The sequence below is a fragment of the Homo sapiens genome, chromosome 1, assembly GCF_000001405.40.
Source record: "Homo sapiens chromosome 1, GRCh38.p14 Primary Assembly".
Taxonomy (NCBI): Eukaryota; Metazoa; Chordata; class Mammalia; order Primates; family Hominidae; genus Homo; species Homo sapiens.
Genome location: NC_000001.11, coordinates 245,354,853 through 245,379,133, shown reverse-complemented (window position 1 = coordinate 245,379,133; position 24,281 = coordinate 245,354,853). Strand labels below are relative to the sequence as shown.

The window sequence follows — 24,281 nt, the reverse complement described above, 5'->3', positions numbered from 1 at the left end:
ATTTTATGTGCTTGATATTCACTTTATGAAATTGGTGATTGATGTCTTTTCATCTGCCACTGGCTCTTACAATGGAAAAGAGGGTCCTGATTCCATTTAACTTGAGTCACATGAACTTGAGTTGAGTAAAAGAAAATGGCGCTCAAGGTTCAGTCAACTTCACGGAGAAGTCGCCATGTGTCACACACAGCACTAAGTATGCAAAACACGCCCTCTCACATGATCCCAACAACAGCTCTGGAAGTTTCCACTCTGCAGAGGAGGAAATTCAGGCACATAGCAGTTAAGAAGCCCGCTTGAGGTCACACAGTCAGCAAGGAACCTGGTGTTTTATTTCTGGTGCATGAGCAGCAAATCCAGCATGACCCCAACCTCTCATTGTGTGAGATTTGGATAAAATCATTGATGAGTATCAGCCTCAGACTTTCTAAAACGATCTGTTTTCTTTGTCATTAAAATGAAAAAAAGCAGTAGCTGTTGTTTCCCCCTTGGCCTGCTCACCATGGAGCCTGCATACTCCCTGGCTCTTTTCTTCAACCCATAGGAAAGTGAAAATTCAGCCTGAGGGAACAAGGTCTGGGGAGGGTGGCTGAGTGAGACAGGATGTGGGCAGACCTCTAACACACAAGACGACTGTGAAAAGCATCTACATCTAGGCAATCTTCTCTCCCACCTGTTTCACCCCCTGTGCAGGGATGCTCAGCTCTGCCCCCAACCCAAGCTTTGCCTGGGAGGGGAAAATAACTCCTCCCTTGCTTGGGTGATAATAGCCACATTCCCACCACCCCCCACCTCCCCACCTAACCCCTCTCACCCACATCAAAAAGGGGGAGGGATGGTAAGTAACTATTACTAGTAACTAAGAAATTCCCCTTGAAGGCACACAGCATCTTACCTGCTGTTTCTAGCCTCCTTTTAGAGCCTAGAAATGTTACTAAAGATAAAAACAAAAAATACAGACCAAATTATCAGCTTGATCGGTAGAGAAGGAACAAGGCTCCCCCAGCAGCAGTCTGATTAGGCTCGCAACTTAAATTTATCTACTCTCAGGTGGTGGCCCAAGAGGTGCTGTTTACATTTATGTCTGTGGCTGTGAAAGCACAAATGACTTACAAGGTATTCTGTAAGTTCAGAAGAGGAGGCTGTTATTCTATGAAAAACCCACGCATACAGGTTGATCGTTGACTTTGTCCCTGAGCATTTTTTCATTTTGTCTGGCTCTTGAGAGGCTCCCCTCCAGTATAAGGATGCATGCAGGTATGACACGTCCCTCCCTCTCTCGACTTGGCCCGTTTTCATCTTTTCCACTTGTTCCTTTTTTTTCCTCCAAGCAAAGAACATGAATGAGAATCCTCCACTGCTGACCAGCCGTGGATGCTGCACCTGCTCCTTCTTCAGAAGTGGTTCAGCAAGGAAAGAGCCCGCATGTACCTTTTACCTCTGCAACTTCACTTTTCTTCTTTTTATTTATCTATCTTATCTAGCTAGCTAGTTATCTGTCTGTCTGTCTGTCTATCTATTTAGAATGTGACCTTATTTGGAAATAGGGTCTTTGAAGATGTAATTATTAGATAGGTGCAAAAGTAATTGCAGAAATTGCTATGATTTTTAATGGCAAAACCCACAATTGCTTTTGCACCCATATAGTAGTTAAGGATTGAGATGAGATCCTACTGGATTGGGGTAGACTCTAAACCCAATGGCTTTTGTCCTTATAGAAAAGAAGAGGACACAGCGAGACCCAAGGCAGAGATTGGAGGGATGCATCAGAAGCCAAGGAATACCTGGAGCCAACAGAAGGGCGAGGAAGGACTCTTCCCTGGGGCCTTCAGAGGAAGCACAGCACGGCCGACACCTTGATTTCAGACTTGCAGTCTCCAGAACTATGAGAATACATTTTTGTTGCTTTTAAAGCCACAGGCTGGGGGCGGTGGCTCACGCCTGTAATTCCAGCACTTTGGGAGGCTGAGGCGGGTGGGTCACCTGAGGTCAGGAGTTCAAGACCAGCCTGACCAACATGGTGAAACCCTGTCTCTACTAAAAGTACAAAAATTAGCCAGGCGTGGTGATGCGTGCCTGTAATCTCAGCTACTCAGGAGGCTGAGGCATGAGCATCACTTGAACCCAGGAGGCAGAGGTTGCAGTGAGCCAGGCACAGTGGCTCACGCCTGTAATCCCAGCACTTTGGGAGGCTGAGGCAGGCAGATCACCTGAGGTCAGGAGTTCGAGACCATCCTGGCCAACATGGTGAAACCCTGTCTCTACTAAAAGTACAAAAATTAGCTGGGTGTGGTGGTGGGCACCTGTAATCCCAGCTACTCAGGAGGCTGAGGCAGGAGAATCACTTCAACCTAGGAGGCGGAGGTTGGAGTGAGCCAAGATTGTGCCGCTGCACTCCAGCCTGGGTGATAGAGCAAGACTCAGTCTCAAAAAAAAATAAATAAAAAATAAAAAATAAAGCCACATAGTTAGTAGTAAATTGTGATGGCAGCCATAAGAAACAAACACCTGTCTCTCAGCCTATCACTCATCTATCCACACACATTCATTGTTCTCTTCCCTGTACCTATTACGCCAGTGCCAGATAAATTCTTCCTTAACACTGTGGTTCTTGGACTTGGCCAAGTTCAAACCAAGGCCTGGGTCCCACCTGCAGATATTCTCATTTAATTCGCCTGGGGTGTGGCTTAGGCATTAGGATTTTTTTTTTTAATCTCCCAAGTAATTCTAGTGTGAAGCCAAAATTGAGAATTCCTGCTTTCAGGCAAAGAAATCTTCCCATTCCCCTGCTCCGGAATCCCCATTGACTGTGTCCTGCCTACCAGATAAAACGTGATACCAGCAAACACTCACATGCTGCTCTACAACGTCCAAAGTGCATTCAAGTGCATGCATTATGAAGATCTTTACCAGATGAGGTAAGAATTATTGCTGGGGCAGTTCTGTGAGATCTCCTTCTATCAGATCAAAAGGCCTCTAGCAAAGATGAACTTCCTTCTACATGAAATTCAGTGAAGTCTCTCCTTCCCCTCCCGTTCCTTCCATCCCTCCCACCCCCAGCTTGGAATGATTTCTGCAGTTTCAACAGTATGAGACTTACATAATTGTAATGACTAGCTACCAATGGAGAGTCGCTGTGGTGTGCTACTTATTATGATTCTATAACAATAGGGAAATCTGAGACAATCGCAAACCAGCGGTGCAGTATGAGTAACCTCTCATTCTGTGGTGGCACCCAGATGAAAGAATCTGACTTGTGCATGGACCGGCCGATCCGCAGGGTAACGGGGTTTGTTGTGTGAGATGAAAAGCCCACGTTCTTGCTGTCCTGCAGGTTTCTGCAGGGACTCCTTGGTCTGTAGACCCCATCCCGCTTCTCCTTACCAAGCTTTTCAGTTAACAGAAGGCTCACCAGTTGTAATAGCTTCCTATTGCTGCTGAAGCAAAATAGCACACATTTAGCAGCTTCAAACAACAAAAACTTACCCTCTTAAAGTTCTGGAGACCAGAACTCAAAAATGGCCCTGCAGGGCTGGCTTCTTCTGGAGGCTCTAGGGGAGAATCACACCCTTGCCGTCCTCAGCTTCTAGAGGTTCCTTCTTCCATCATCAAAGCCAACAGATTTGTATCTCTCTCCTCTCTGACCTCTGCTTCTGTCCTTCCACCTCCTCTCTCTGGTTCTGATCCTCCTGCCTTCCTCTTTAAGGATCCTTGTAATTACATTGAGTCCACCCAGATAGTCTAAAATGATCTCCTTGGCCGGATGTGGTGGTTCATACCTGTAATCCCAGCACTTTGGGAGGCTGAGGCAGGCAGATCACCTGAGGTCAGGAGTTTGAGACCAGCCTGGACAACATGGTGAAACCTCATCTCTACTAAAAATACAAAAATTAGCCGGACATGGTGGTCCATGCCTGTAATCCCGAGGTTGAGGCAGGAGAATCGCTTGAACCTGGGAGGTGGAGGTTGCAGTGAGCCAAGCTCGCACCATTGCACTCCAGCCTGGGTGGCAGAGTGAGACGCCGTCTCAAAAAATAATAATAAAATTAAATTAAATGATCCCCCATCTCAAGATCCTTGGCTTAATCACATCTGCTGAGGCCCTTTTACCATGTAAGGTAACACATCCACAGATTGCGGGGATTAGGGTGTGGGCATCGTTGGGGGGCCCCTATTCAGTCTACCACACCAAGCAAACGCCCAGATTGAACGTATTTTTGAAGTTTCCTAGTGAAGTCTGGGTGTTCCCTTCAGACCACGGCCCCATCCATATTCATAAGCTGTGACTACCCTTTTGGAATTTCACCCTGAACACTCTAGCCTTGAGAAATGTGTGTCCATGACCGAATATACAAATTGATTCTTTTTTCCATGTTCATAATTTGTCAAAAAGCATAAAGATACATAACCTAATATCCCTTTGACCGCCTATAAACAGGAGAAAACAAAACCCATGGTCTTAAGAATCTCTTCCACGTCATAATTGGTCTAATCGTGGCATCTTACACTATTGCCTGACTGGGTAGACACAGCAGCAAGTGGGAAGCAGGTGACCCCAGTGCTGGCCCAAGAAGGGGTGTGCTGCATATTTCAGGGCACAAGTGGCTGGATGAGCCCTCAAGAGCTGCGAAGAACGTGGATGAAAATCCTATACTCCTGACCTGCTGGAAACACCCACCCCTGTTCCTTCTTGAAAAGTGGTTCGGCCGGGAAGAGCACGTGTATACCTCATCTCCCGACATCAGCCATACTAGAACACACGCTTCTGCTTTCCACGAAGCCACAATCGGCAAAGCCTCTGAGTACAACAGCACTTGGTGGGCCTCCCAGAGCCTCACCTTCCTCCTGCAGGGGCGCTTGGAAGTCCTCTAGCACCAAGATCCCCCAGGGCTTCTGATCTCGGAGGAGCAAGTGTTATGCACCGCAGAGGTCCTGTCATTTAGCAAACCTTGATATATGTTGAGGTTGGTGTTGCTTTTACATCCTTTTGTGCCCATATATATATATATATATATATATATATATATATATATATATATTTTTTTTTTTTTTTTTTTTTTTTTTTTTTTTTTTTGAGATAGGTTCTCGGGTCTCTGTCACCCAGGTTACAGGCAGTGGTACAATCACATCTTCCTGCAGCCTGGAACTCCTGGGCTCAAGGAACCCTCTCGCCTCACCCTCCTGAGTAGCTGGGACTACAGGCATGCCACCACGCCTGGCTGATTTTTTATTTCTGTGTAGAGAAGGGGTTTTACTCTGTTGCCTAGGCTGGTCTCTAACTCCTGGCCTCAAGCAGTTCTCACCTTGGCCTCCCAAAGTGCTGAAATTACAGGCATGAGCCACCGTGCCCAGACTGTGCTCATATCTTAAAATGTAAAGTCCAGTAATGGCTGTGCTTCATAGGCGCAATCATTTCTAAAGCTGTAATAGAGACTACCTCATAATGACTTCGGCCAGTGTTCAGTCCAGCATTACCTCTCACATTCATTCCAATGCATGTTTTTAGAGAAAGCAGGAAAAATTGTATCAAGAGCATTTTCCTGCAACTCAAGGAATGCACATGGACGACCTTCATTGCATCAACGGTCCACTATGGATTTATTACTTGTAGATTAAGCTAACATCTTCTGAATTTTCTTGACAAGTTCAATCGAGTGAAATCCTATGAAATAAAGCTCTTCTATCCTTTCAAATGCCCCTGTATTGAGTGTGGCATCGAAATGCCAGCGAGGTTCTTTCCACTGCATCTAAGGATTTATTAAGTATGATTAAGACACTTCAGGTTAAAGATTAGCTTGGAATCAAATACCTGGTGGTTTCCACCTAAATCCTTGGGTTCTAGATAGGTCTTTGGCCTGGAATTCTTTCCTAAACTAGGGCCAGTCATGGAAAGTAATTGTAGTGCATCCCTGAGATAGGAGCTGTCTCTAATAAAGAACAACATTTTCACGTTAGCTGCTGTGAGGGATGTGAGAATAAAATGAGTCCCTGTTGTCCAAGAGTGTGTGATTTAGCAAAAGAGATCAAACTAGGATTTAGAAAACTCTGAACAAAAGAAGCTTCAAATCTCTCAGCCTCAGGTTTCTCCTCTGGTAAATGAAAAGGTTGAAATAGATAATTTATACCGGTATTCCTGCTTTATAGTTCATAAAATATTTTCACGCCTTCTTCTTAATTGTTCCCTATAATCACCCCATGAGGTAGGAATTTCATAGGTGAGGAAATAGACTAAGATGTCAAGCTACTAAACTGGTTTAATAGTTGGTGGGACCACAGGCTTGAACTAGGTAAGACTCTGTCTCCAAATCTCCTACCATGATGCAAAAGACAGTTACCATCCTACACAGGTGCATTCCAACACCAACATCACCAACATCCTATAACTCCGTGTGTTATGTGTACAGTCTTTCCTGCAGTTATTGACTATAATAAATGTTAATCAGGCAAAAGCAGCTGCCATTCAAAAAGAGGTAACTAATCTGTAGTTGATTACAAGGAACTAATCTAGACACATCCTTTCAAAGTCACAATTTCATGTGGTCAAATGAAGGCTGTAACACATGGCTACAAAGACGAGGAACAATAGACACTGGGCCTACTTGGGGGTGGAGGGTGGGAGGAGGGTGAGGATCGGAAAACCACCTTTTGGGTACTATGCTCACTACCTGGGTGACAAAATCATTTGTACATCAAACCCCAGTGACACACAATTTACCCACATAACAAACCTGCACGTGTACCCCCAAACCAGAAATAAAAGTTGGAAGAAAAAAGATGAAGATTCTAGAGCAGTGATTCCCAACCTTTTTGGCACCAGGGACCAGCTTCATGGCAGACAAATAGGGCGCGGAGATGGGATGAAACTGCTCCACCTCAGATCATCAGGCATTAGATTCTCATAAGGAGCATGCAACCTAGATCCCTCACATGCACAGTTCACAGTAGGGTTTCTGCTCCTAGGAGAACCTAATGGCACTGCTGCTCTGACAGGGGATGGAGCTCAGGAGGTAATGCCCACCCACCCGCCAGTCACCTCCTGCTCTGCGGCTGGCTCCTTAACAGGCCACAGAGTGGTATCAATCTGTGGCCTGGGGTCTGGGGACCCCTGCGCTAGAGAATTTTCTGCTTTCTCTGTGTGTGTATAGATTGTGCTAAATGTCTGCAGATGAACAGAAGAAAGTCTTTCTTTGAAAGCCCGTCTTATAATCTCCTATTAAATCAATTTTCTAAGATATTTAATGAGAATTATCTTTGTGGTTTGTTCAACATTTTTGATGTCATCTTAGTACTTCCTAAATTACTCTTTTTAAAATCTCTCTGGATCGATTCCTATTTATCTGTGATGCTTACAGGTTCCTGGTCTTTCTGGAGGTACTTTAGAAATGTGAAGGATATAGCAAACGAGAATCAAGAATCTTCCTACTGCAACCTTTGGAGATTATTACACAGTGGTGCGGGCCACGGGGATTGAGGGATTCGAGGGACCTTCTGTCGCCCATGTGACGCAGATTTCCCCAGGCTCACTGCTGGAAAGCCTGTCCGCATCGTTTTCATCCTTGCGACGTCTAAATTGCAGAAAGGCAGAGTCGTCTTCTCCCTCATTTCTAGAGGCTCGGGTCCCGCGGGTGTGGAGCCGCACCCTTGGTAGTGACAAGGTCTAGATGCTTCTCTGCCCGGGGAATGGCTCTGGCACTGATCCAGAGGCCATCTGCTCTGTGGGGAGGGAAGTGGGAGTATGGGTAAGCAGGAAAAATGAGGTCAGCTTTCAGAGCAGTCAACCGTCTCTGACGAGCTGGCTAGACTGCGAACTGTACAATATGTACTGCAGGGAGATGTCCGCAACAGGAGACACTCAGTCTGGCCAGACCCAGAGCCCCCACCCCAGGGCATCAGGACGACACAGTCACAACACAGGGGACGCAGATTCATAGCCAGGCACCAAATCTCTTTATCCCAGAGAGATTTCCTCTGGTCCCTTCATTACTGAGGGGAAATGCATGAATTGGTCTGTTCTGGAGTTGGAAAGAAGCAACAGAACATACCCAGGATGACCACAAGTTGGTGGCTTGTGTGAATCTTGGTTGTATCTGGCTTTGCCACATCGGGCGGGATTAGGAGCCTGTCTGCATGCCCCCAAAGCACCGCGGCATCTCTTCACCTCTGCACTCACCTGCCTTCTGTCCCACTGCAAGGACCTCAGGACAGGAACCAGGGTTTCCAGCCCAAGGCTGCGGCCCCACCCACCACCTAGCACAGTGCCTGGTACTTGGTTAGAGATTAATAAATACTTGTACAGTAAATTCTCTTTCATCTGAGTTTGGGAAGTAAGAGGAAGAACAGAATCATTGCACAAATAAAAGAAACGCACAAATAATCCCTAATCGGCCGTTTAAGCAGCATCTTCAGTGTTTCCGACTTACACACAAACTTTCACCTCACTTTGAATATTTTACAGGAAAGCACCAGTTTCATGCTCCTCTGTCCTCGCTCATCAGCGCTGGCGCAGCCGCCGAGTCTTCTAACCGGCCCCTGCCACGTGTGACAAGAGCTTCGGAGTCCTGGAAGGTGAAATGTGAGTTGTCTGTGTAACACAAGTATGTGGCTCACACAAGCCAGGCATGTGTTGAAACTATGGCCTGGGTAAAAGGATGTTCACCTGAGCATTGTATTTATAGTAGCAAAGACCTAAATTCTAATTAATTGATGTTTGGTTATATATTAGGTGGGTGCAAAAGTCATTGCGGTTTTTGCCATTGAAAGTAATGACAAAAACCGCAATGACTTTTGCACCAACCTAATAAATGAGGACATCTCCATAGCGTGGAAAATATTCATATAATGAAATATGTTACTGCTAAAGATAATATTTTAGGGAAACATATAGTGGCATGGGGAAATGTACCCAATGTATTAAGTGAACTGCAGGTCACAGAATTGAACCTGGTCACAATTTTACAAATTGCGAGTGTATGAAATGCTAGGAGGAAGTATCCCCAAATGTTACATAGTTTATATCCGGGTGACATCGACTTTTAAAGTCTCATTTAAACTTCCTCATGTATTTTAAATTTTATTTTACAACAAATATGTTACTTTTGATAATTTTCTAAATGGTATATTTTAAAACTGCAAACAAAAAAAAGCAAATTATCCCATGATGCAAAGAAGCCCTTCTCTGTTCCTGCCCTAGAAGGTTACTTCCAAGGTTAGAATGTGAAGCACTGCACAGGACGCCACTGGTTCCTCATTATATTTATATACACATCCCAGAAGATTCTATCCAAAAGTCTAGGGGCAGTGAGGCCCCTGCAGGTAAAACGAGTTCTTTTCTTTGTGACACCAGGTCTGAAAAGGAACCATATCTGGAAAAGATGTCGGCAGCTTACTTTGGGGTAGCCTAGGAAAGTTGGAAGAAACCGCGGTAGGCAAAGCCATTCCCTGGGCAAGGGGAGAGCTGGTGCTGGTTCTGCCACTGGCTGTGTGGCCACAATCAGTCCATTTCTCTAAGCATCATATTCCTTAACTGTAAAAGGAAGATCTAACACCTGCCCCACCTACCTCATAGGCCTACTGTGGGGTTAAAGGAAATAATCCATATGTTAGATTTTGTAAATTAGAAAGCACCCAGTTAAGTGAAAATTTCGACCGTCCAAGAATGCTAATATCTTAGGATAATGATCAACGTTTCCCACTTTCTTTCAAGATAGCAAGAGACATGAACACTCTCAAACGCTCTAGAGAAAGTCACCCGGCATTTTATCAACCACATTTAACTCACTCCACGTTTCCCTGTATCTTGTCCGGCGTAACAAAACTATGCTATGTGTTCACTCGACTTGTTCCTTTTTCTCCTGGGCTCACGGGTAGATTGGCTTCCCCAGCTTCACCAGTGGGAAGGTGAGATCAAGAGACTAAACTGTCTGTCTGTCTGTCTGTCTCTCTCTCTCTCTCTCTCTCTCTCTCTCACTCTTCTTTTTTCCCAATTCAGAGTCTTGCTCTGTCACCAGGCTGGAGTGCAGTGCTGCTGGAGTGCAGTGGTGCAATCTCGGCTCACTGCAGCCTCCGCCTCCTGGGCTCAGGCGATCTTCCCGTTTCAGCCTCCCAAGTAGCTGACACTACAGGCGCATGCCACCATACTTGGCTAATTTTTGTATTTTTTTTAATAGAGACGGGTTTTCGCCAGGATGCCCAGGCTGGTCTTCAACTCCTGTACTCAAGCAATCCACCCACCTCGGCCTCCCACAGTGCTGGGATTACAAGTGTGAGCCACCACGCCCAGCAAAGACTGGATTCTTGTCACTGGAATATAGATGTAAGCAACATACATCACTTCCATGCAAAGCTGGGCCCCAAATCCTCCTGTGAGATCCTCCACACACTCTATCTTCCCTCATTTCCTGGCTGGTTACAGAAGGTCTGGTGAAGGACTCTTGAGGCCCCTGGAAGATGGTGACGCATTTGGTGGAAGAAGTCTGAGTCCTCACATCACAGCGGAAGGCCACCTACCAAACACCCCCTATGACAGACCCAAGTGAGAAATAACCTGAGGTCTCTAGTCTGAGTCCTCACATCGCAGCAGAAGGCCACCTACCAAACACCCACCATGACAGACCCAAGTGAGAAAAAGCCTGAGGTCTCCAGGATCATTTGCTGTATGTACCAACTATCTTCTCTGAGTAATACACCCTTGACCGTGGCCGCCTCTCCATTCCAGTGACGGTCAATGCTCTCTGCTGCTTCCCACACCCCTGATGCAGGGGATATGGAGGCCACTTACATTAAAAATCCAGTCCTCATCCAACAGAAAACTCACCCGGGCAAAATTAGAACATCTTTAAAGATTCCCTGGGAGATTTAAGACCTGTGTTTTATTTCTATGGAGAAACTTGGGGGCATGTTCTAATTTAAATAACTGAAAAGGAAGAAACAGTTTTGGCAGCCCAATCCCAGTAGTTCTTAAGGTGAGTTGCAAATAGAAAAGAATTTGGGTCTGTCAAGGGAGGAGAGGTTAAGAAGGGCATCTACACCTCTTTTGGAAGGTATAGACAGGGAAGGCAGAGTGCCAACACGGATCACTGTTCCTTCGTATATTTTATTCTCAGCAATGTCCAGCACTTCCACAGGCTGCTTTAAAACCGTGATTCCTGGGACTCACAATATCCTTTGGTTCAAAAGCATCTCACTCATCTCACTCTCACTTAATATCTAAAATCTCTGTTAACAGGCACAACAATGATCCCCTACTATATGGCAGGTGTTGGCCTACATGTCATGCAAACACTACCTTATTTAATTCTCGTGACTCACATCCATTTATAAATGAGGGACTTGAGCCTAAGACAGGGCAAACCCCTTGTGCCAAGTCACGCTGCTAATAAGTGGACAAGTCGGGGCTTGGACCCCAGTCCAAGTATCTGTGTGGCCTACCTCTTCATGGCTCTGCCATGTGGTAAATCTGCTGGCTGGGAAGTCGCTGGCATCACCTGGACCAGCAAGGACCTCTTACACAAAGAGGGTCTCTCAGGAAGGAGACACTGAAGAGCAGAGAAAGGGCAGGTGTGGAAAGTTTGGAAGATGTAGCAACACCCTCTCAAAGCAGGCAGGCCCGGGTGGGGCACCTTGATGAGAACTCTGTGGGGGCCACATGGAAACACTGGGCTCTGAGTTACAGGGTTCCCGGGAGGAGGCAGCGGAAGGAAGTGCTGCCTACTTCTCCGCTTTGACTCCAGCCAGCCCTGCTCTTCCTGGCTCACACAGGCTACTTACCTGGTATGGGTACAGGGTGACCCCGTTGGTTCTCGACAGGGACCAGGTGCCATCCAGGTACTGGTGAGCCTGGATGGCCACCGAATTGAGGATGTTCCCATTGCTTGGACTGGTGGCCATCTGGAGGCTGACCTTGGCCTGGTGGGTTGGGGACCCGCTCTTCTTTTCCGCCCCATTGCTGACCCCAAGGCTGCTGGGTTTGCTGCCGTGCTTGTTGGCGAAGCCTGTGTAGTTGGAGGTGGCACAGGGGGCGGGCACAAAGGCCCAGTCTCTGGGCTGCTGGAGCCCACCCACGTGCCGGGACCCCACCAGGGTGGGGATGTTGGAGAGCGGTGGCGGGGAGCAGGGCGAGGCGTCGTAGTGCTCACTGCCGGCTGCCTGCTCCAACGTCAGCACCATCTGGATGGCCTCCTGCTTCAACTGGTTCAGGTGAGTGGCGCAAATGTCACAGCGGTTGTCCCGGTCGTTCCATGCCTTCCGGATGGTGTTGGGGACCTGGAGTTTGTCGTGAATCACAGCCGAGAAAGCAGGGTCCTACAGAACACAGAAGCAGAGGGAGAGGAGATTCTATAACTCCAAGGCTGCTAGTGCAAGTCAGATACCTGGCTTACCAGTCAAACCCGAGACGTACTCAAAGAGTTGGATAGTTTGATTGGCATTCCACAGAAATGAGAAGACACACTGGCAGAAAAGCCTCTATTTTTGATAAACACATTAGACAAATGTAAGAATTTTATAGTGAAAACTTTCAAAAAGAAGTTAAAAAAATAAATAAGACTTCTAAGTATCTTCTTCGCCAGGCTGGTCAAGAATATTTTTTTTTTTCTTTTTTTTTTTGAGATGGAGTCTCGCCTTGTCACCCAGGCTGGAGCGCAATGGCACGATCTCGGCTCACTGCAACCTCCACCTCTGGATTCAAGTGATTCTCCTGCCTCAGCCTCCCAAATAGCTGGGACTACAGGCGCCCACCACCACGCCCAGCTAATTTTTTGTACTTTTAGTAGAGATGGGGTTTCACTGTGTTAGACAGGATGGTCTCAATCTCCTGACCTCGTGATCCACCCGCCTCGGCCTCCCAAAGTGCTGGGATTACAGGCGTGAGCCACCATGCCTGGCAAGAACATTCTTATTCTTACATCCACTGAAGAATTATAGCCATCCCTGGGCTCTCCCAAGGTGTTCAATCAGAAGGAACAAACATTTGTCCAGGCATGATATGGGGTGAGTGCAATTCTGGACCACTGCACTGAGGTCCCTTGGCCCCCTGTTACCACAGAAAGTTAGTTGCAGATGGAGGTGCAACTTGCAACCTCGAACAGAGGTTCTGTTCTAAGAAAATCTTGGCCTTCTCAGCATTGTGTGCTAAGTACCACTGGAACAGAAGCATTTAATGGATTCAGTGAGAACAATGTCTCTTATTTACTTTGCTTTAGGATTACACAGAGAAACAAGCACCAGGAGTGTTCGTTGAGTATCAGATAGTTTCCAGTTCTGCCACTTGTGACCTTGGAGTTCTGCAGTGACCTCAGACAACTCACTGAACCTCACTGAACCTCTCGTCTGTCCACAGCGCCATGGCCTCTCCTTATCGTAAGGACCTTCCAGCTCCATGACTCCGTTCGTGGGGGAACTGGGATAGGAGAGTGTGGGCTGTGCCTATATGAACAGGGCTACTACGCCATTTGGGGGCTCAACAGTCGTTGCAGGTAATTGATAACGCTCATCTCAAGGCTTATTTACCTCTAGGACATTAGGGAGAAAATCTGCCCTTCGGAAATTCACTGTCAGCTTGCATGGGGTAGAAGCCCCATCAGAGCTGAAGGCGGTTTGCTGAGCTGTAGGCTGGTGGGGGGGAGTTGTGAGGCAGTGACGGGGCAGGAAGATCAGCATTTGGGGGGTGGTTCTTAATTAGGATCCATCTTGATTGCAGGCTCCAGCTGTTTGTTTTCCCTGTTTAACTACCCCGAACAGCTCCTCAGCACGCACTGATTAATTGATTAATAAATCAAGAGGCCTCTTTACACTGCAGCAGCAAGGGGTGGCTCAGGAGGGAGACACTCAAGACAGCCAGACACAATGATGGGAAGCAATGGGAGGTTCAGGTTGAGCGAGTCTGGTTGAGGAAGTGATGCAAACCATATGAGGCCTGTCTCGAGGCGTCCTCCTCGATGACAGGGCCAGAGAGTCTCTAATCACAACTCAGAGCGTGTAGCAGGACCTGAAACGGCCCCTTAGGGGCTGTTCCAGAACAGAGCGTCACCTCAGTTTACAGAAAAACAGGTCCCAGAGGGTTAAAAGCGTGGACTATGCCTAGATTTCTTGACCACCAGTTCATGATTTTTCACTTTAAGCCAAAGAGCCATATCCATCAATAGATTCCTATTTTCCCACGGACACAGAAGGGTTCCAGCCCCATGTTTTCACTAGGAAATGTTCATTCATTCAAACGGGATTTATTTGGGCCCCAGTATATGCAAAGATACAGTTTCTTGTTTTTTTTCACATAAGCAATGGCTTATGCTCTCAAGGCACCAAACTGTTTGGCTTCAAAAAGCCTCAAATCAATTGCTTATTTAGAATATTTTTACTAACCCAATCATATGGAAGAGGTGCCACAGAAAGGAGGCAGCTCTAAGAGAAGTCATTTCAGCCGGGCGCGGTGGCTCATGCCTGTAATCCCAGCACTTTGGGAGGCCGAGGCAGGCGGATCACAAGGTCAGGAGATCGAGACCATCCTGGCCAACATGGTGAAACACCATCTGTACTAAAATACAAAAAAATTAGCTGGGCGTGGTGGCGGGCGCCTGTAGTCCCAGCAATTCAGCAGGCTGAGGCAGGAGAATGACTTGAACACGGGAGGCAGAGGTGAGCCAAGATCACACCACTGCACTCCAGCCTGGCAACAGAGCAAGACTCCATCTCAAAAAAAAAAAAAAAAAAAAAAAGAGAGAGAGAGAGGGTGAGAAGTCATGTCTGCACATCACAGTTTATTTCCAACGCTAGCCCTTGGAGTCTGGATTTGACTCTGACCTAGGGACACAACCACTCTCCAGAAACCGCATGAGCCATCCCTGGCTCTGAGGGCCCCTCTTCTCTTTTCTTCCTTGTTTTTACTCCTCTCCCTTGAAGCACCACCTTCTTTATTCAGCTTATTGCCATTTGTGGCTCAGCTGCTGACATTTAACAAGCGGAGACTTTGGTTTCCTGCACGCCCAGTGTTGCCCCAGGCTGGGGGTCTGAGGGTGCATGAGAACAACACCCGTTCTCTGAGAGTTCACAGTCCAGAGGGCCTTCTTGGTTCCTGTACTACCTAACGCCACATGCCTCTGCTGCCACCTCTAGCCCAGTCTGTAGTGACTCACAGGACCAATCCGTACATACATGGAGCTCAGTGCTCCGCCGGGGTTCACAAGACATCAATCAGCACCAACTCCCGCTCCTCACAGCTGTCCTCCACTCACAGCTGTGCCAGCCAAAGCAAGCCCAGCGAGCACCAACAGAGCCATTCAGCACAGCTGGGCCCAACATCAATACGACCGCCACAGACAGCCAGGAAGTAGCCAACAACCCATTCCTCTCTCGTCCAGGGAAAGGCTGAGATTGAGAGTCTTTAATGAAAATGCGGTTGCTGGCTGATGTCAGAGGTGTTTCTTCAATGAAGCCACCCTTGATCTAAAACCCTTTGTGAGTTCTTATCATCAAAAGGCCTCAGTAAATCAAGTGCTTATCCACACATTATACATAAATATTTTAGTACAACTCACAACTTCAAAAAGGAATGGTCAACAGCCATAGCTTTCTGTAAGTGCTGAAATAAAGAAGATACTGCTTTAAGGGAGGGTAGTCATAAATAGGAAGAAAAGAGAAAAGGAGGCCGGGCGTGATGGCTCATGCCTGTAACCCCAGCACTTTGGGAGGCTGAGGTGGGTGGATTACCTGAGGTCAGGAGTCCGAGACCAGCCTGCCCAACATGGTGAAACCCTGTTTCTACTAAAAATGCAAAAATTAGCTGGGTTGGTGGTGCATGCCTCTAATCCCAGCTACTCAGGAGACTGAGGCAAGAGAATCTCTTGAGCCTGGGAGGCAGAGGTTGCAGTGAGCTGAGATCACACCACTGCACTCCAGCCTGGACAACAGAGCGAGACTCCGTCTCAAAAAGAGAGAGAGAGAGAAAAGAAGTCTTCAGAGCCATAGATGCCTCGAATTATACCATGCTTTCCTGATATGGACACAAAAAGAATGGCAGTGGCCCTAGGAGATGGACTAGGGCCATGTCCTCTGGATCAGCTGGCACCAAAAGAAGCATCCAGTCTGTCGTGCTGCCTAGCTCGTGGGCTTCAGAGACATCTGTATCACCTAGCTCTGATCCATCCTGGATCAGAGATAGTCTCACGGGAGCAGCGATGGGCCCACCCACAAGGTGAACTTCTATGTTTAAGGTCCCAATTTTTATTGGCACTTGGGCAACATTTTCAACCTAAAGTTTTAAGTGTAAGGATTCGATACTTAGAACACTCTTATCTTTCAGGAATATATACCAAATCATTTTTTCCCTACTTCTCCCATGAAGAGGAATACAAGAAGACACGTAGGTGGTGGAGCACCGTGGCTCACGCCTGTAATCCCAGCACTTTGGGAGGCTGAGGTGGGCGGATCACCCAAGGTCAGGTCCCCTCACTAATTTCAAAAGAAGAGAAATAAAGATAATGTGGCCAAATCTTAATTAGCCATTGTCAGAGAGGAGAATTTAAGCATCTGAAATTGAAGGATACTCCCAACATGCCAGCTCGGGGATGCTACTTCTTCCTCAGGAAAATTTTTTTTTTTTTTTGAGATGGAGTCTTGCTCTGTCGCAAGACTGGAGCGCAGTGGTGCGATCTCGGCTCACTGCAACCTCCGCCTCCCTGGTTCAAGTGATTCTCCTGCCTCAGCCTCCTGAGTAGCTGGGACTACAGGCGCCCACAACCACACCCGGCTAATTTTTTTTTTTTTTTTTTTTTTTTAGTAGAGACGGGGTTTCACCATCTTGGCCAGGATGGTCTTGATCTCTTGACCTCGTGATCTGCCCACCTTGGCCTCCCAACGTGCTGGGATTACCGGCATGAGCCACCGCACCCGGCCCTTCCTCAGGAAGATTTTGTTCGTCGATGCTTACCAGCTCCCTGACCTTTACATCTCCTGATCCGCCTGTGCTTGATGGGGTGTGAAGGACCAAGGAGACACAGAGGGTCATTCTCACCCAGAGTATTTCTCACCGCGAGACTCTCTTCGCCCCTGAATCTACACAGCAGGAGTTTGCTGATGGCGAAAGGTCAGTGTCCTTGATTCCTGTTGTTCATGAGCTCCCAGAACCACACACAAGGTATACGACCACCGCAGAGGGAAGCCAGGAACCAATCAGAACGCCTGACAAAGGAATCACGACCCATGGCTCCGGGTGGGGAAGTCACCACCCTCAAGGTTCTATCATCTGCACTGACACGACATGTGCATGGACTAAAGTCCCCAAGCGGCTCACTCTGATTGGCAAAGAGGACACAAGCACAGCGCATTCTGGAAAGACGGGAAAAGAAGAGGGGAGTGATATCTGAAAGAACACAGAGTGTGTTAGAATTAGGGTTTGCTCCAGGTGAGGCCTGAGACAGCCAAAATAACAACCGCAGTAGTGACAGCAACGAGGCCATGCCCTGAGATCGCAGGTGCACCCCTGCACCCCTGCTTGATCGCCTGCACCCCTACTTGATTAGCATGAAACTCAGGTAGAAACTTCCTTCTGTCCTACCCGGAGTCTGAACCCAAGGTTTGTCATTGTGATTCCCAGTCTGCTTTGTAAGCCCACAGCCCTTCACCCAGTGATGGTGATCACACAATGGTGCGGGCATGAACACCGCGCTGAGCACGTGAACACGCTGAATGTAAAGGCGTGAAGACATGCTGGGTAATAAGTTCACAGAGACAAAAAAAGAAAAAAACACTCTCCAGAGGAGGAAATGTTAAATGTCAGACCGCAGTTTTTCTACATAAGAAACCAAATTACCCTGGGATGTAGCAGCTGTGCTCAGCCTAAGTGATTCTGCTCTGGATTACTGCAGGGAGAGGCGATCCCATGAATGACTTCCGTTTGAACGATCGTGTTCTGCAAGCGAGGCAGCTGGGAGGGCCAAAGGCAGGTGGGAATGCGATTAATAGGGCTGCTTGCTGCAACATGTGAAAAAGGTATTGCAGAAGGTAAAGACTTTTCCACGTCAAAAGAAAAGGGAGATGTTTAATTAGAACGTAACATGATTAAGAACAGTTCATAAATGACTCAAAAGAATGGGTGAGGCATTTCTCGTCACAACCCCTGAAAATGCTTTTATTTATTTATTTTTGAGACAGAGTCTTTCTCTCTTGCCCAGGCTGGAGTGCAGTGGTGTGATTTTGGCTCACTGCATCAAGCAATTCTCTTGCCTCAGCCTCCCAAGTGGATGGGACTACAGGCGTTCACCGCCACACCCGGCTAATTTTTTTGTATTTTTAGTACCGATGGAGTTTTACTATGTTGGCCAGGCTGGTCTTGAACTCCTGACCTCAGGTGATCTGCCCACCTCAGCCTCCCAAAGTTCTGGGATTACAGGCGTGAGCCACTCTGCCTGGCCAGTTTTTATGTCCAGGTCTCATCTTTTCCAACTAGATGGTATGGACAGTGTTGACTATTTTGAAAACTTTTGGTTAAGGGTATGGGAGGTTCAAGTCCTGCTTCTATTACTTAGTAGCTGAGTGACCAGGAGCCATTTTTCACAAATCTCTCTAAGCTTCAGTCTCCTTAATGTAAAAATGGGAGTCAATAATCATACTTATTTTATTGAGTTAAGTAAGAATTAAATGTGATAATATGTGCAACATTTTTAGCACAGACCTGGCCCTTGGTAAATGCTGAATAAGTGGTAGTAATTATTATCACCCTTAAATAAATGGTAGTAATTATTATCAATGTAACTAGTCTCAGTATCTAATACAGTAACTTGTATAAATTTAGAACTTCATATAATGTTGGGATGAGGATAAGGAGGATGGTGACAATGATCTTAGGGCTGTCTTTTATCTAGGAGGATTTGGCGCTTTTGCAATTAAGAACAGAGAGGATGATAAAGAAGGGAACATATCATATTCACTTAACCACCACATCTGGTCAAGTCAAAGCCCTCTTAAATCAGCCCGGGTGCAGTGGCTCACACCTGTAATCCCAGAACTTTGGGAGGTCAAGGTGGGTGGATCACTTGAGGTCAAGAGTTTGAGACCATCCTGGCCAACGTGGAGAAACCCCATCTCTCCTAAAAATAAAAAAATTAGCCGGGCATGGTGGTAGGTGCCTGTAATCCCAGCTACTCAGGAGGCTGAGGCACGAGAATCACTTGAACCTGGGAGGCAGAGGTTGCAGTGAGCTCAGATCTCACCACTGCACTCCAGCCCGGGTGACAGAGTGAGACCCTGTCTCAGAAAAAAAAAAAAAAGAAAGAAAGAAAGAAAGAAATCACAATAGGCTGGGCCCATTGGCTTACACCTGTAATCCCAGCACTATGGGAGCCCAAAGCAAGGCAGGTGGATCAGTTGAGCCAGCAGTTCAAGACCAGCCTGGACAACATGAGGAAAACCCATATCGGAAGGAAGGAAGGAAGGGAGGGAAGGAGGGAAGGGAGGGAGGGAAGTAAGGAAAGGAGGGAAGGAGGGAAGGAATGAAGGAAGGAAGGAAGGAATCAAAATAATACTGGGTTCCTGGAGTTCCTGAGCTGACATCTCTGAGCATGGCCTGAATGACTCTCAGCTTCCTTCTCTATTTTAAAAGATGAAACACTCCAAGAGGCGTTCATTTCCATGGAACTAAGAATCTGATGCTTCTCACTCTAACAGCCTACTGAAAACGCTTCCTCATTTCTCCCACAAGAGTGACTAATGCTTCGTAGGGGCTTTGCTAGATGTTCGATTTGAATCACAGACCCATCAACTAACTGGTCAGTATCTCCTAGGAGCTGCCAACCTTTTCCCAGAAGATGTAGAAAGAGAAACCTGGCCTGGACGCGGTGGCTCACTCTTGCAACCCTAGCCCTTTGGGAGGCCGAGGCAGGAGGATCACTTGAGGTCAGGAGTTCGAGACCAGCCTGGCCAACATAGTGAAACCCCGTCTCTACTAAAAATACAAAAATTAACCAGGTGTGGTGGTGCGTGCCTGTAATCCCAGCTACCCGGGAGGCTGAGGCAGGAGAATCACTGGAACACAGGAGGCGGAGGCTGCAGTGAGCCGAGACTGCGCCACTGCACTCCAGCCTGAGCAACAGAGCGTGACTCCATCTCAAGAAAAAAAAAAAGAGAGAGAAACCTGATTTCACATCAGCGTATCTTCAACCCTGAAAATCTTGTTCTCCAGTATATCCCTTGGCTGTTGGGAAATAGGATCCCTTCACAAATAGATTCAGAGCTTAAGATGGGAAAGTAGATTCCTACTACGTACTTAAAATGTTTCCCTTAACTTTAAAGTTCATGTTCAACATGACACAAAATAAAGTGCTGAACTATACGCATGTAAGCACTAATCAAGATTATACTAGAATGCACTAAAATATTACTTTCAAATGACTGAAGCCCATCTAGACTTGATGTATTTTTTACATGTAGGCTTTAATGTGCCAGCAGGCAGCAAATGGAATTATTTTCAATCTGCAAGTAGTTGTATTAGTATAAGGCTATCAAGGATTCTGTTAATTATCTAATTATAAAATTGCTTAATGTTTCTTTTTCTTTTAATTGACTTCATATTCATGAAATGCTGCATAAATGTACTTGGCTGTTTTGTTTTGTTTTGTTTTGTTTTGAGACGGAGTCTCACTCTGTAGCCCAGGCTGGAGTACAGTGGCGCGATCTCGGCTCACTGCAAGCTCGGCCTCCCAGGTTCACACCATTCTCCTGCCTCAGCCTCCCGAGTAGCTGGGACTACAGGCACCCATCACCACGCCTGGCTAATATTTTGTATTTTTATTAGAGACAGGGTTTCACTCTGCTAGCCAGGATGGTCTCGATTTCCTGACCTCATGATCCGCCCTTGGCTGTGTTTTCTTAAACTTACTACAAAAAGATTAAATACCTAAAATTTGGTGGTGTTGCCATTGTTTTTAAAAGGTAAAATTTTGGCAGGGTATGGTGGCTCACGCCTGTAATCCCCACACTTTGGGAAACTGAGGTGGGCAGATCTGAAGTTCGAGACCAGCCTGGGCAACATGGTGAAATCCCAACTACAAAAAATACAAAAATTAGCCAGGTGCGGTGGTGCATGCCTTTAGTCCCAGCTACTCAGGAGGCTGAGGTGGGAGGATCCCTTGAGCCCAGGAGGCTGAGGATGCAGTGAGCTATGATGACGCCACTGCCATCTAATCTGGGCAGCAGAGCGAGACCATGTCTCAACACAAAAAAGAAAAAAGATGGAATTTTAACAAATACATCATTTGACCATGTCCTACAAAAATTTAAGTACTTGCCCCATTCCCCTGTGACCCAGTGTTTTGGGCCCCACACAATTTTCTTCAGGCCACCTTGTCACACGTCCCTCACTTCCCCCAGGAGCACCAGCACCAGCCTCCCTCTGTCTCATGGAAGCCCCTACATTTCCCAGCCTCTGCACCTTCACTTTGGTTCCTGCCCTGATGATAACTCCCTCTCTCCCTCATCAACCATGAGAAAACTTTTGGGGGTCATGGATATGTGCAGTATTATAATTGTGGGGATAGCGTCATGGGTGGATACATATGTCCAAAAATATCAAAGTGTACGCTTTAAATGTGTACCATTCACTGGATGTGCATGGTGAATTATGTATCACACTAAAAAAACCAAAGTCTTGTTCATTCATCCTAAGGCCCCGCTCTTCCGCGAAGTCTGACTCCCAGAAGGGATGTCTCCCTTCACTGACTCACACAGCACTTCTCTAAGTCATTCATAGCACTTAGCAAACATTTCCTTACTTAAGCTGTACATGTTCTATCTCCACCATCACAGTGAATTCCTAGGGGGCAGAAACCGTGCCATAATTTGAATAGTAATGATAACTTCTACTCTTACCCACCTGGAGTCCACTCTCAAGAAAACAGACAAGGTGATCCTTTTCAATCTTAAATCTGATCCTGCCAGTCCTCGGCTTAAAATCCTCCCCTGGCCCCCGCCCCACTTCCTTCAGAGTCAAAGTCAATGTCCCTGCCATGGGCTCTGCAGGACTCGGCCTCCTGGTCCCTCTCTGCCCTCAGCTCCTACACTTGTTCCCTGACTCAGCCTGAACCAGCCATGAAAGCCTTCTGGCTGTTCCTTGAACACACCAGGAATGTCCACTCCCAGCTCAGTGACATTGTACTTGCTGTTCCTCCTGCCCAGAAAACTCTCACCTGCAGATATCTGCCTGGCCATCTCTTACCGCCTTCAAGGTCTCAAGGATCACCTTTTCAACGAGGCCTTCCTGGATCATCTAGTGATACTGCAAACTAGCCCCAACACTCCCTAACCACCTTTCTCTGCTTTAATTCTCTCTACAGCATGGCCACCTTCTAACTACATTCCGTTCATTGTCTGTCTCCCCCTGCAAAATATAAACTAGGTGACAGCAGGCACATTTGTCTGTGTTGTTCACTGCGGAATGCGTCATGCCTAGAATAATGCCTGAAGTCAAGTAGGCACACAGAAGCCATGTGTCGAATCAATCAATGACTCGATGAATCCATTTTCAGTGAGAGAGGTTCCCACATTGAATAGCTTCATCTTTCTTAGGAATTTTTTAATTTTTTTTTTCTTTTGAGACAGAGTCTCACTCTCTCACCCAGGCTGGAGTACAATGGTGCAATCTCGGCTCACTGCAACCTCTGCCTCCTAGGTTCAAGCAATTCTCCTGCCTCAGCCTCCCCAGTACCTTGGGATCACAGGCGCCCGCCACCACGCCCAGCTAATTTTTGTACTTTTAGTAGAGACGGAGTTTCACCATGTTGGCCAGGCTGCTCTCGAACTCCTGACCTCAGGTGATCCACCCACCTCAGCCTCCCAAAGTGCTGGGAATACAGGCATGAGCCACTGTGCCTGGCCTTTCTTAGGAATTTTTATCCCTTTTTGCTTTTGTCACGTTTGCTAGTATAGTTGTGTTTTTTTGCTTGTTTCTGCTACACTTTAGTGTCCTGGGAGTACTGGGAGGGCTCGTGTGTTCAGAAAAGCCTCTAGGGCCTGTTTCTCAAAGTGTGACCTCACCACGCCCCCTGCGCAGAGTCACTTGGGAAGCTCACAGTGAGGCAGGTTTCCAGGTCCCCTCTCAGACCCCCTGTATCAGAATCTCTGGGGAGCCGGGCTCTGGAATCTGCGTGCTGACGAGCACCCAGGTGACGGTGTGGTGTGCTGTCACAGAGGAGGGGATGGGAAGGAAGGCCAAGAGGAGGCAGGGAGAAGGAAGAAGTAGACAGGGACATCTGCCTCTCCCATTCAAGGGCCTCACCCCAGCTGTGGCCTTCAGACAGGAGCCGAGGATTTCATGAGACGCTCTACCCTCCACCCAGTGAATTGCAACTCCTCCAAACACCTGAGCGTGGGGGCTGCTGCTTATTATACAAAATAATTCAAGACAATGATAAATAGCCCCGGAGACATAGCCCAGAGACTAAAGGTAGAATGCAGATGTCTTTTCACCAAATTCTCTCTCTACTCCAATGGTTCTTGACCGCTGGTAAGTTTTTTAAATTCTTTCTTCTTCTTCTTCTTTTTTTTTTTTTTTTTGAGACAGGGTCTCACTGTGTTGCCCAGGCTGAAATGCAGTGGCGTGATCACAGCTCACTGCAGCCTCACTCTCCTGGGCTCAAATGGTCCTCCCACCTCAGGCTTCCAAATAGCTGGGACTACAGCTGCACACCACCATGCCTGGCTCATTTTTGTATTTTTTGTAGAGATGGAGTTTCGCCATGTTGCCCAGGCTGGAGATGGTGATTTTGATGCTCAGGGGACATTAGGAAATATCTGGAGACATTTTTGGTTGTCATAACTGGGAGAGGGCTACTGACGTCTAGTGAGTAGAGGCCAGGGATGCAGCTAGACATCATACACTGTACAGAGCAGCACCCCGCATCCCAGCACCTGAAAAAAGAATCACTGGCCGGGCGCAGTGGCTCACGCCTGTAATCCCAGCACTTTGGGAGGCCGAGATGGGCGGACCACCTGAGGTCAGGAGTTCGAGACCAGCCTGGCCAACATGGTGAGACCCTGTCTCTACTAAACAAAATACAAAAAATTAGCCAGGTGTGGTGGTGGGTGCCTGTAGCCCCAGCCACTCAGGAGGCTGAGGCAGGAGGATCGCTTGAACCTGAAAGGCATAGGTTGCAGCGAGCCGAGATCGCGCCAGTGCACTCTAGCCTGGGTGACAGAGCGAGACTCCGTCTCAAAAATAAATAAATAAATAAAATAAAATAAAAATCATCCAGTCCTAGATGTCCGTGGGGTCAAGGTTGACACCCGGGCCTAGGTGC

General features: G+C 47.2%; 1 protein-coding gene across 1 annotated transcript in view; it reads right to left on the bottom strand.

The window, feature by feature from the left end:
* Window positions 1-24,281, bottom strand: part of KIF26B (kinesin family member 26B) — a 554,448-nt gene that overhangs the window by 330,299 nt on the left and 199,868 nt on the right. Inside the window, exon 3 of the mRNA NM_018012.4 lies at window positions 11,767-12,300. Coding sequence (NP_060482.2) covers window positions 11,767-12,300 — 534 coding nt within the window. The remainder of the gene's footprint in view (window positions 1-11,766; window positions 12,301-24,281) is intronic.